This window comes from Homo sapiens, chromosome 2, assembly GCF_000001405.40.
Source record: "Homo sapiens chromosome 2, GRCh38.p14 Primary Assembly".
In the NCBI taxonomy this organism is placed as follows: Eukaryota; Metazoa; Chordata; class Mammalia; order Primates; family Hominidae; genus Homo; species Homo sapiens.
The window spans coordinates 109,345,224-109,358,185 of record NC_000002.12 but is presented as its reverse complement, the minus strand read 5'-3'; the positions used below and the strand labels follow the sequence as shown (position 1 = coordinate 109,358,185).

Sequence of the window (12,962 nt, the reverse complement as noted above, 5' to 3'; positions counted from 1 at the left end):
AATTGCTAAGTGAAGGCAACCATTACGAAAAGGCTACATATTGTATGATTTCAACCGTATGACGTTCTGGGAAAGGAAAAACTATGAAGACAGTACAAAGGTCAGTGGTTGCCAGGGGTGGTGGAGGAGGGAGGGATGGATAGACAGGTCAGAGGATTTTCAGGGCAGTGAACCTACTTTGTATGGGCCTATAATGGTAGATACATGACATCTCCATCAGTAGACTCTGCACCAAGAGTGACTATAGGCTTAGAGTAATAACGATTTGTCAATATAGGCTCATTGATTGTAACAAATGCACTAACTCTGGTGAGTGATGTTGACAATGCAGGAGGCTTTGCATGTAGGGGCAGAGGTTTATGGGAAATCTCTGTATCTTCTGCTCAATTTTGCTGTGAACTTACAACGGCTCTAAAAATATAACACCTATTTTTTAAAAATCTAAAATAGCACCACAGAGCAATGAAAATGAGCAAACTACAGTGCCCTACAACAACATGGGTATAGCTCACAAATATAAAACTGAGAGAAAACAAAGTTGGACACAAAAATAAATCCTGCGTGATTCCTTGATGTGAAGGTCAAGAGCAAACACAACTCATCTGTAGTGTTAGTAGACATGCGGGAAGGGCGGGCTGGTAACTGTCAGAGGCACAGGAGCCCCAGTATCCATCATTTCATCACTAGGTAAGAATATATTCTGTTGGCCGGGTGCGGTGGCTCACGCCTGTAATCCCAGCACTTTGGGAGGCCGAGGTGGGTGGATCACGAGGTCAGGAGATCGAGACCATCCTGGCTAACACGGTGAAACCTCGTCTCTACTAAAAATACACAAAATTATCCGGGCATGGTGGTGGGTGCCTGTAGTCCCAGCTACTCGGGAGGCTGAGGCAGGAGAATGGCATGAGCCTGGGAGGCGGAGCTTGCAGCAAGCCGAGATCGTGCCACTGCACTCCAGCCTGGGCGACAGAGTAAGACTCCGTCTCAAAAAAAAAACCAAAAAACAAAAAACAAGAATATATTGTTTGTGATAATCATCAAGCTGCATAATTATGATTAGTGAACTTTCTGATATGTTATGTATAAGTATTAAATATATATTATATATAACATAATAAAAAAAAATTTTAAAAAGGTAACAGTCTATCCAGTATGGACAAGCAGCAGCATGCCTTGAATGTTGCATTCAGTGCTAGCATGTCTCTACAGGACATCTGTGCTGCAGAAGTGGACCATCACGGAACAGTCCAGAACCGAGTCATGGCAAGCCAGGGAAGGAGGTGGGATGGCTCAGCCTGGGAAGTGAGAGCGCTGTGGGGGCCGTGATCATGTCTTTAAGCTTTGACATCATTACCATGCTGAAGAACCAGGCTTATTTTCAGTCACCCAGGAGGGTGGGATTTGCACCAAGGACCCCATGTTACTGCAATGTGGGCAGGCTCCCTGTGAGGCAGGGCTGTCCAAAGATGGGTGTACTTCACAGGCCAGGAGTTGGCCATCACTACTAGTGTTCAGCAGGGTCAGGTTGCTCCTCATCACGTCACCAATATATTCAAGCATCTCCTAAGTGCCAAGCCCTGGGATGGGCCTTTGGCTGAGGAAGAAACTATCCCCTCCCAAGGAGGAGGAGGGGGCCTGTGGTAAAGAGAAGGTCAGCATCTGGTATTGAGAAAGCACATGAAAACCCCACCAGGCTGCCATATGTGGCATCTAAAACCCAAGCATGTCGAGTGTCGTGCTACTGTGAGATTAGTGAATGAGCAGTGGACCCTGCCATGGCTCCATCTGGCTAGAGAGGCAAGTCCAACATAGACCTAGCTGCAGTGTGGTGGCACCTGGCAGCAGGCATCTCTTCTGGCTCAAATATCAATGTGGGAAATTCTGGTTTCTGTGGCTGTGTGGGACCTCAGGAGGGCGGTGGGATCTAGAATGTTCCTATTTAGTTGGCAGTCATTTTGGTGTAGAGGCTGGGCTGGGAAAATACTGGGGTGCAGGAAGTCAGCCACTCCCTGTACCTAAAAATCCATAATTAACTCTAAGAATGTCAAGGAAGGTTTCCCCAGCTCTGCCTCTAACCCAAACTCCCACAATAATTACAACCTCCAAAGAGGAATGTTTGAGTGCTGGGCAATGAAAACATTCACTGTAGCATGTTAGGGCTACCAGCATAAATCTGGTGTGTTCTGGAAACAATAATGATTCTCCACCCCCAATGCAGGACCAGGGAAACAATGGCAACTTTTCATGGCTAGATCACAACAGGACTCTGATTTGTCCTCATGTTACAAAAACCTGGAGCCATTGCTTTCAGAAGGACAAGGAAGGAGGAAATAGCTGCTTCACAGACTCATTAGTATATGGAGAAATACCCCTCCTCAAAACACCAAATGGGCTTTGTATATGAAGACGGCAAGACTGATCCGCATGGCATGGACCTGCGTGTTAAGTTGCTGCTTCACAGAGGAGGGCGTCCCCAGGGTCTCCACTCACTGTTTCCCAACAGATGCACACTCAATACCAGAGGCTCCCAATGGCCGAAGAGGAAAGCCACGCTGAAGGGAGCATACAGGGACAACACCTGTGCCCTTGGCCCTGATAGTGCTGTGCTCTATGTCACAGGTCAGGAACGTTTTCTAGAAAGAGCCAGAGACTATTTCAGGAGTTGTAGGTCAATTACTCAACCCTCCATTGTAGCATGACAGCAGTTATGCATACATGAATTATGGCTGTGTACCAATAAAACTTTATTTACAAAAACAGTTGGCAGGCAGGATTTGGTCAGAGAGTCCTAGTCCACCAACCCTTGCTTGATGTAGATGAGTGAACTAAACCAAACCAGAAACCACAGGCATCACCAAGAGTCAGATGAAGCAGACAAGTTCCTGGGCCAATATGCCAGCATTCAAGAATTTTATGAATGAAACTTGTTTCCACAACATAATTTCTCTTTCAGATACAAAGCTCAATTTCGTTTACAGGTTTCATGTCAAGTGCTCATTACTCACTGTGGGCCCGTAGACTTTCATATGCTGTTTTCCCTATTCCCTGGTATTTCCAAGTTTTGAAAATACACCAAATGCCGTTACCATATGGCAGTGGCTCTCCTTTGTATTCAGGTGGTCTCAGGGTGGTCCTAAAGGATTGTAAGCCTGAGCTGTGAACATAAAGTGGTTACTAAAAACTATATCACCTTTCTTCCTAAGTGTAAGCCTGAGCTATGAACATAAAGTGGTTACTAAAAAACTATATCACCTTTCTTCCTAAGCTTCGTAAATACTACATTCACAAAGGATTCAGGTGACATGGTAGGACCTGCCATCTACAAGGAGTCTTTAAAGTGCATTTTAAACTCATTTACTAGCTCTTCCAAAGTCTGTGTTTTCACTTCCACCTGGGGAGAAGGAAAGCCACAGACACAGATGCGCCTTTGTGAAGAACAGAGGCTGCGGGGCAGGGTGCCGACGCTCGCCTTCCCTGTCCCTTTAGGATGCCACTGGAGGTGGCTGGCGGAGCACACTGCCCTTTGACACCACTACAAAGGCACATCTTGGCAAATATCGCAGCTCACATATCAGGCATTTGGGAGCTCAGCATGAAATGCCACGATCACTGAAAACCTTGGAGAGCTCCCTCAGCAGCTCTGGATAAACCCACATCCAGTGCCTAAGATTTCCCTCTCCTAAGTCAACTGTGTGGAAGAATCACATGTAAAATGCCAGAAGCAGTCCCTGCCTGGCCATGAGTGGCCCACAGCCCTGCTCTCCTGGAGGCCACATGAACGCTGCGCCACTTTTCTGGCTCACATGCAGTCGAGTGGTTTCCTAGAAGCAATAACAAGCTGGAGCCCAGAGAAGGCCCCTGACCCTGCCGGGCCCCCTTCAGCCTCTGGGCCTGCAGGGTGATGGGCTGCCTGCTCCACCGCAGTGACCCAGCCTGACACAGGCAGTATCCGTTGGCGGCACACAGGTCAGCCACACACACAGGGCCCAACCCACTCTGTGTCGCAGGGAGAAGGGAAAATTAAAAAGGGAATAGTTCAGAAACTCCCTCAGCCTTTTGGTGCAGAAATAACCCAAAACTGTGCCTCTGACAGCCGACTGCCATCTATGGTGGGGCACTTATGGAACTGTTAGCCACCATCAGCTCCCCCACCTAGCGGGCTGGCCCTGCATCTTTGTCCTGCTGTCACTGAGACTTCGGGGGGCTCTGACTTTCCAGAGCATCTAGGGGCTTCCTCTGGTGTTCCCATCGTGTTCACGTATCTGAACTCCAGAGGGAGGCAGGGGCCCCTCAGGGGGTCTGAGGGCTGAGGGGAACCTGCGGCCACAGGTGGAAGAGATGTCAGAGATCACACCCTCTCACTGCCGGCAGCTCCCACTGCACACGGACACACGCATGCACACACGGGCAGGGGAGACTCTCTCGTCTTGTCTCCACGTCTTTGGGTTCTGAGTGCCTAAGGGCAGTGCACTCCACAGCATCCCTGGCATTGGGCACGCAGTCTAGGGTTGATAAACATCTGAAGAGTGAAGGAATGGACCAAGAAGCCTGGGTGAGGAGACAGAGGCACTCTCACCCAGCAGGCCTGCCAGCCCTGGCCAGGTGACACAGGGCACCCCACTCCACTGTTAGGGCTTCCCTCCACGTCCCTCCAGGCGCCCCTTGCTGCCCTATGTTGGGGCCAGGCGGTGGTGGGGTCTCAACCCACCCTCAGGCAGGCGGTGTCACGTGACTATGAACACCTACCTCTCAGGAGAAAGGGTGTGGACAGGGAGTCTCAGTGTGGGGTGCTCCCTCCCACAGCGGGAGAGGGTAGCCCCCACCTCCAGCAGAGATTTGCTGAGGACGAGGGTCGAGCTATAAATGTGTGGGGGCACCCAGGCTAAGGAAGGCAGCCATGCAGGCCCAGGGAGGCAGTGGGCTCGGCTGCAGGGAGAACCCACCAGGAGGCCAGTGCAGCTGGGCAGGCAATGAGCCGGGGGCCAGAAGTGGATCAGGCCCTTGAGGGAGCAAGGACTGGGTGAGGTGGGGCCTTGTGGGCAGCACCAACTTTGCCATGACTCCGGGACAGGTGGAGAGCCACTGAGGACTCTGAGCAGAGGCTCCATGTGGCACAGATTTGAGAGGTGGATCTGGCACCCAGTGGAGAGCAGGTGGGGCAGCTGCAGCGGCCAGGGCCAGGACTGCTCCCAGGAGCCAGGCGTGCCCATGGAGAGGAGCTCACATTCTGTGTAGGTTCTGAAAATTTCTGGCAAAGCTTCAGATACAGCCCAAGCTTTGCCTGCAAATCAAAACGGTTATCTGTGCAGTTTATCCAAACTCCCTTTGCTGTCAGAAGGGGCTGGGCGAGGGTGGTCTGTAGTGGCTAAGAGGGTGCTCTGCTCCCCTCTGCCCCGTGCCCTGCGAGTTGAGCCTCCTTCGTGGGAGGCATCATTGTGCACAGAGGTGGCTGCAGGTGCACTGAGCCTAGGAGGAGAAATCCACGAAGCAAGGAGCCAAAAAGGAGAACTGGTTCCCTGAGTTTCTCGGGTAACTTCAGGGTAAAGTAGCCCAAGCGGGGTGCCCAGGAAGGGAGAGAACGACGTGGAGCTCCGCACAAGCTTATCTCATGATACAAAAAGAGGTAAAGCTAAAGTTTCCTCATCGTCTCGGCCCCCAAAGTCATCCCAATTCTCAGTCAGGAAGAAGCAGAGACGACACTGCAAATTTGGAAGCTTGCCCATCGCCTGGCTCTGCTGGTGAGGGGACCGTGGCCTCCACACAAGGGGCTCAGCTCCGCTACCCCCAGGCAATCCTCTCTGAGATTTAGCCACCAGGAAAGTAAAAGCATAGCAGACCAGTCCTGCAAGTTCTCATTCTCCATGCAGTCTGTCTTTAGGAGGGAGGCTTACTTTCCTGCGAGTATTCTGGGCTAACATAAAAAGTGATATGTACCATCTGACGGAAGTGCAACTTTTCCTGAGACAGGAAGAAAGGAGAGGGCAGACAGCAAATATTTATTGGAATGCCTATTTTGAGCTTGGGTTTTAAAATGCCTTTGCTCATGTAATCCTAATATCAACTCCATTTAAAGTTAAAAAAAGCAACTCAAACACTAAGTAAATGTTCGAGTCACCATGCATTATTAAAGAAACGTGCCATGATTTGAATCTGTGTCTACCTCATGCTAGAGCCTGAACTCTATATTTGATTTTTATCCATCTATGTCTGTCCCTAGGATCAGAGGAGCAGAGTTTGGAATTAATGCTAGGTTAATTCACAAAGGTAAGACTTCCCATACTTTTGAGAAATGATTAAACATTCAGCAGCATAAGAAGGTCACATGGAAGAGTCTTAAGGTCTGACCAGATCAGGACAAATCGAGGGTGAGATGAGGGTTAGGACAGCACAGTGGCTGCAGCCACCAAGCCCTGTGGCTCCTTCACATGGCACACCTGGTAGGGATTAGGGCTGATATGGCAAGCCTGGGGGCCCCGCTGCAGTCATGTGCAAAAGTGATTCCATGATCAGCGGGCACTCTCTGAGAAAACCCCGTGGCCTCTGAGGATTCCTGAGCATCCCAGCTGGAACTCATGAAAAGCAGCGTGGGCCCTGCATAGCAAATGCAGCTGCCTGGCAAGGCGACCACAATGTTTTCATTAACTGAAAGTTACAGAGAAGAGGTTCAATAAACCCTTGCCGAATCTTGCAGGTGAGCTGAGTAAGACAATATAGAGTTAGCTGCTCAAACAATGGAGTAGTTCACATTCTTCTCCTGCACTCCCAGCCCTAGGCTCCACAATTTATTTATATCATGTGGTTCTCAGCACACCACAGAGTGCACACTGGCATCCTGAGACTGGGAAGGCGAGGTGCTCCTGGCCCAGAAAGGTTATGTGTCACCCTAAGTCACACAGCTGGCATGGGGCCCTCACTGCAAGGCCCTGCCAAGGCCAGCCCCTCCCGGGTGACTGGCCCAGCACGTGTGGAGGCTCCTCAGAAACCAGCTGGCAGAGCTGGGCCCACAGCTCTTCCTGCCTGTCGTCTTTTTATTTGCACATGCCCAGCTTTCTGGAGTCGGGCTACTAAGAAGTAATAAAATATCACTTTTTAAAGCTGCTTTACAAAAACTGATTATTCATTCTCTTCTGAAATAAAGCAGAAACTAGATTTTAGAAGGACTTTAATTAATGCCACTTTAACAGGACTATTCAAAAGCAAACACCAAAGGTAAAAATCTTGCTTTGATCCACCTAATTTAAACTCCATCAGTCTGCCACAGTGATGCTGTATAAAGGCAGGTTATACCATTGTAGCTTTCAGAGACCCTTCTTTCCTCTCTGACTCAGGAATGGAACATATCCAAAGAATAAAAACATTCCCCAGAGGGGAGACCAAGCTGGCATGAACCAGCACCTACGCTGCAGCACTGGAATCATTTGGTTCCTGGAGGTCTGATTCACATGGAGGTTGTCAGAGCCAGTGTGTGCGTCTCAGCTGCATGCCAGGCATGGGGGAAGTAAGGTGGGTCGGACCCACCGTGGGGGAAAACAGGAACTGAGCGGAGAGTCACATGGAGTTGCCCATGTCTCTTGGAGCCTTTATTTGCGGACACTGAGGAGTGAGAGATGCAACAGGACAGAACAGGTAGCAGGGGTGGCCAATCTCTGCCCGACCTCGCCCTTTGGGGGTCAGAGGGTCAAAGTGGGCATAGGAGCATGGCAGGAAGGTCGTGTCACAGCACAAGTCCCTCTGGGGATCACACCCAGAGGCCTCTAATTCTCCACATTAACTCACAGGATTCAAGTAAAGAAAGTCCTTGAACAAAGAATCTGTGATATGACACTTCCCCCTTGTCTGCTGTGGGAGCCGTCACAGATCCTGTAACAGGAGATGCTGGGCCTCCCGTGGCTGGCGCCTCTGACCTCAATTCAACCAAGAGGTCACCTTCCAGAGAGCCTGGGCAGCCATGGTGACATTGCCCACTTGGGAACAGATGGACCCCTGCTCGGCTACCCCCACCCCACATGCCAACCGCAGAATGAGTCTAAGCCTGATGGCTCTAATTTCACTGTTTCTTGTGAAATATGGAACATGGAATTCCATCACTGACTACTCAGGAGCCCACACTAAATGCCCGGCCTGCCCCTGGTGATCCGATGCAGCTCGTGAGCCTCTGGCCTGTCTTCTGCACATTCTCCACTGGCCTGTCTCCCGCACCTGACTCTGGGCTCCAGAAGAGCAGCAGGTCTAGTACCCGACACAGAGTCAGGGCCCGGTATGTTTCTGTGGAATAAATGGGCAGGTGCCCTTTGTCCTCTTGTCCAGTGGGCTCTAGCCTTCAGCCTGGGGTTGCACATCCTGGGCAGAGGCCCGTGGAATGCAGCAGGTTATATGGTGATGACAGGAAAGGCAGGCAGTCACTTCTGCCCAGAGAAGCAGGCCTACCCAGAGGCTCCAGGGCCCTGCGACAGCCCGTTCACAGTGGGTTCTCCCGAGTGGAGAGCCTCCTCCTGTGAGGCCCCTGGAGGAGGGCCTCGGCTCTGCAGCCTGGAGCCCGCCAAGCCTGGAGAAGCCTAGAGCCATTATGGGGTCTGTCTCCTTAGCAAGGCCCTGACCGGACCCTGAGAGTTCAGAGGTCCCTGCTCTTGGTCATGAGTGACCACCTGGGGCACCAGTGGTCCCAGGTCTTCTCTTAGGGGGAAGAGTCCACTGGGCAGAGAAGCAAGTTGGGTTTCTGTGTGCCTAAAAATAGCCCCAGGAAGCTGTTGCTCTCGCCCTCCGACTGAGTGGGGAGGGAGGGAGGCACCAGTGCAGTTTCCCGGGAAGCTGTGCAGCCAGATGACAATCGGAATTAGCATCAGAACACCTTGATAAAAGGAAGGGAGAAGGAGTTGAATCCCTGAATGAAAAATAGATTATTCATTGTCAGGCTGAACAATAGAACAAGACATAAATAGCAGCTGTACGCAGGACATGCCAATTTTGCTCAAAAACACTGTGCATGGTTCTCCTACCGCCCTCCAGAGAGTGCCACCTCGAGCTCTGCACTCAGCAGATGGGGGAGAGAGCAATGGCCTCTCAGAGGCAGGAAGGATGTGGGCTTTAGAAGCAGAGATTCGAGTTAGAATTCTAGTTCTGTTATTTACAACTCTGTGCGTGTGTGTGTGAGAGAGAGAGAGAGAGAAATACTGACACAGAGAGACACAGGCAAGACAGAACGAGTGAGGAGAGAGAAAACAACAACTTCTGGGCATCTAAAATACAGTGAGGCCGACATAAGGGAAGAATTCCCTGTGTAGGGAGGTGGGAAGAATGCTGAGTGTTAACATCAGAGATCTGCATTAGGATTCTGGCTCTGTCATTTACATCTGGGGGCGGCGGGGAGCAGGTGCAGCAGTGGCAGGGGATGGAGGAGACACAAGAGACAGGAGATGAAGATGGAAAGGAGGAAGGGGAAGCAGGAGGGAGAGAGGACCCAGCAAGCAGCCTGGATAAGTTACAAAGCCTCTCAGAGCTTTGGTTTACACATGGAGAAAACGAGGTTCCAACTACTTCCCCTGGAACCTGGGACAGCTGTAAAGACCAAGTGTGAGCTTATTGGCCGAGCACTTGGTGCAGATGATTATTCAACAGCAACTGCCAGGACAGCCAGAACCAGTCTCTTCTGCACCTCACCCAACCCTCCTACTCAATTTCACCTGTCAGTGCTATTTTGTTTGCTCCCAAATGTTTGCTTCACAGGGATCCCTACGCACCAGGGTGGCCCTGCCTCAGGTGCCCTAGAGGACAGGGCTGTGATGCACAGATGTGAGACCCCAGCTATCATCTCCCTGTGAGCTGACCAGGGTCTCTGTAGCAGTTTCCCCTGATGAGCCCCTCTCACAGGACCCCAAGAGTCCTGGAAAGGCGTCATTCTGCTGCACCTGGGTCAGCGCTTAGAGCCATGACTCAGGTTAACTGAGGGTTCTGCTCCTGGTGCTGATGGAGGCTTATATTATCTCAAGCTCCTATGTAGCTCTGGGCTGGAGCTGTGTGTCAAGCTGGTGCCCTCCATAGCATTCAACCAAAAAAAACCATCACCCCATTCATGGAAGCACAGGGAGGGAGGCTGGGTCATTTGCCCAGGGTTCCGGGAGGAGCCAGGATTCAGACTCTGAAGAAAGACTGTCTGGCTATAGGTCTGTGGCTGGGAAGAGCCCTGGGTGGCACAGAGGCTGCATGGGCTGGCGGGGCCCACCCCGGGGCTCACCTTACCTTGGTGAAGGTCAGACAGTCCTTGTCTTGGTCTTTGTCCTTCATCTCGAAATCATAAAGTGCTTTTCCCTGGGGCGGGGCGTGTGGCAAGGGCTGGATGCACTGGATATAGCTGGCTGGGAGGAAGCCCTGTGTGCCGTGCAGCTCGCCGTGGTACCACTGTTCATCCACCTTGCGCCGCAGGACGATGATGTCCCCCTTGTTGAACTTGAGGTCACCAGGTTCCTTCCCCTCGTAGCTGTAGAGGGCCTTGCCATAGGGAAGCAGGCAGGGATTCTGCAAGCAACAGACAGCATGTGGTCACCGGGCATGCCCCTTCCCAATGCCCCACAGTGGATCTGCCGGGGCAGGCCGGGGCTTCTCAGGGGCTTTCTGTGTCCTGGGGGTGCATACAGAGTGCCCCGCAAGTGGAAAATATTTTAAAGAAACAGCCTGTCACAGGAACATGCACATTCTGAGGCGCCACTGAGATAAGAGGGTCCCCATCCTAGCCATTCCTCCTAAAAAGGACACTGTCTGAGGCCTTCCACACAGACAACCTCATTCTGTGCAAAAAGGACTCTGAAGTAGGTGCTGGCTTGTCTTCATTTACAGATGGGGACACTGAGGCACAGAGAGGGAAGGTGACTTTCCTAAGGCCCACACCTAGGAGCAGTAGGTAGAATCTGAACCCAGGAGGTCTGGGCTCGGAATTTCTTACTCAATACTCTATGCTGAATCATTTTCCACTGGCTCCTATTTCTCAGGGATTTTAGTCTAAGAAGCTGCCAGACTTCTAGCAAGTATCCAACCATTTTTTCTTTACTTCATCTACTGAATAGTCACAGCAACTCGAGCATGCTCCAGGGGTTGAAGCTGAGCAGCAGGCGTGCATGGCATCCGTCGTGCTGAGCGTTCCACTCAGAGGACTCATGGCCAGCGGTACACACACGAGGATGATGACAAACAGCCTGTGTGGAGCACAGGGGCCATGCCCAGGAGCAGGGGTTCTAACAAGCAGTCCCCGGCCATCACAGACCCCCCCACCATGACACACAGCTTTCTGCTGCATGTACTTGTAGCAGTCTGTTCCAGAAGTACAATTGTTCAAGGGCATAAGACTGTATCCTCCTAACAGTGATGTTCTTGTATCCGTCAGAGGTTAACCAACCCATCTGCACCTGTTCTGCCATCCTCGGTCTCAAACCGTGACTAGCTCTGAAATCCAAACAAGATTCTAAGCTGCTTCTGCTTGTCAGCAATAAGGAGCCTGTCAAAGAATCCGGAAACTGATGTGATGTCTTCTTCCACTTCCTGGGCTTCTCTAACTGGCCCTGTCTCATCAAGTCCATCTGGCCTCATGGGCCTCTCTCCTTTTCCTTTATGGGTGGCCAATACCTGCTCAACTGTGGGAGCTTTGCCAGAGGTCAATCCTGTGCTAGAGGAAAACCAAAGGAAAGCTTTGCATTGTTCGGGTGTCAATACCCAACGATTTTCCTACCAGAAGCCGCATTTTCTCACCAGGGCTGCCTATGCCAAGGAGTTCTTCAGTATTCGAATCAATCAATAGAAGCACAAAAGCCTGAAGCAGTAGTACATCGAAAAACTCTTTGTAGAGGACTTAATAGCATGTTGGCAACTCAATCATTCTACATTTATGTTTCAGCAACGTCAAACGACAGCAGTTAAGAGAGAGCCTGCTGGCAAATTGACAAACAGCCACCACTAACCAATTAAACAGTAACACCAGAGGATTTTTCATTGCAGAACTCGAAGAGAAAAAAAAAATCCGTTTGCTTCCAATAATACTCATTCTGGATAGCTTTGTAGTGCGAGCACAATAGTGTGTAACGAGCCCCAATTTTAGAGAGCGGAGGCAAGGGGTAATTTGCAAGACAAGCACTGTGATCAGAAAAAATGGGAAGGGGCAGTTGGCTGCAGGCCATCAGAATAATTCCACTGCCACACAGGGGCCACTCAGCCGCCAGCCAGGGAATCTTAATTTGGGACAATTTGGTCTGAAGATATTTTTTGGCTATCACAACCGGAAGGTGGGGTGCTACCAACATGTAACAAGTAAAGACCAGGGACACTGCCAAACACCCTGCAATGCCCAGGACAGCCTCTGCCACAAAGAATGACCTGGCCCAGAGCCATCAGCAGGTTAAGAAACCCTGGCCCAGCCTGTTTGGTTAAATTTACAAAAAAGACAGAGTAAGGTTCCCTGTTCTAATAGAACTTAGTCTACGAATACTTTAAAAGTTAAATATAACATTTATTTTCATGAGGGGAGTATTTTCACTATTGGCTACATGGAGACACTTAGATATCCATCAAGGCGAGCAGTTTTGAAGGGATGTAAGAAAAGAACATGCTCTGAAGTTGAAAAACCAGCCTCAACAAGATGCACACAAAAAACCTTTATCTGTCAGGGAATGACTCCATTTCCCTTCATTCCCAAACCACAAGGGTGAGGCTTAAAAGCCGTGTTATAAGAGCTACAGACTCGGTGGCTGTTTGGCGACTTTTGCTACCATTGGTAACAACAGTGGGCAGGAAGGGCCAGCTTTGCACCTGCCTACACGCTGCACTCCCTTCTGCGGCCGGCTCGTGCTATCTGAGCACACACATCTCCCTGCAATGCCCCCGAGAAGGGGACACTGTGTTTCCTTTCTGGCCTCCCCACCATCAGCCTTCTCTAGACTGGTTGACATAAAGGCCACCTGAAGACACCACTCACACCCACA

General features: G+C 50.7%; 2 protein-coding genes across 4 annotated transcripts in view, besides 2 other annotated features; both read right to left on the bottom strand.

The window, feature by feature from the left end:
• Window positions 1-12,962, bottom strand: part of RANBP2 (RAN binding protein 2) — a 1,122,820-nt gene that overhangs the window by 484,116 nt on the left and 625,742 nt on the right. The gene's annotated exons all lie outside the window — the stretch shown is intronic.
• The window catches only part of SH3RF3 (SH3 domain containing ring finger 3), a 375,430-nt gene that overhangs the window by 146,449 nt on the left and 216,019 nt on the right, over window positions 1-12,962 (bottom strand). For all 3 annotated transcript variants that reach the window (NM_001099289.3, XM_011511109.3, XM_047444144.1), the window contains exon 2: window positions 10,237-10,512. In NM_001099289.3, coding sequence (NP_001092759.1) covers window positions 10,237-10,512 — 276 coding nt within the window. The remainder of the gene's footprint in view (window positions 1-10,236; window positions 10,513-12,962) is intronic.
• Window positions 9,075-9,144: an enhancer, noted in NCBI's record as "active region_16362". NCBI's record gives its function as "activates an Ori minimal core promoter by ATAC-STARR-seq in GM12878 lymphoblastoid cells {active_cell/tissue: GM12878}" and the evidence as "EXISTENCE:reporter gene assay evidence [ECO:0000049][PMID:35858748]".
• Window positions 10,382-10,627: a silencer, noted in NCBI's record as "fragment chr2:109964015-109964260 (GRCh37/hg19 assembly coordinates)". NCBI's record gives its function as "represses an EF-1alpha promoter that drives an FKBP-Casp9 reporter gene in an ReSE screen in HepG2 liver carcinoma cells {active_cell/tissue: HepG2}" and the evidence as "EXISTENCE:reporter gene assay evidence [ECO:0000049][PMID:32094911]".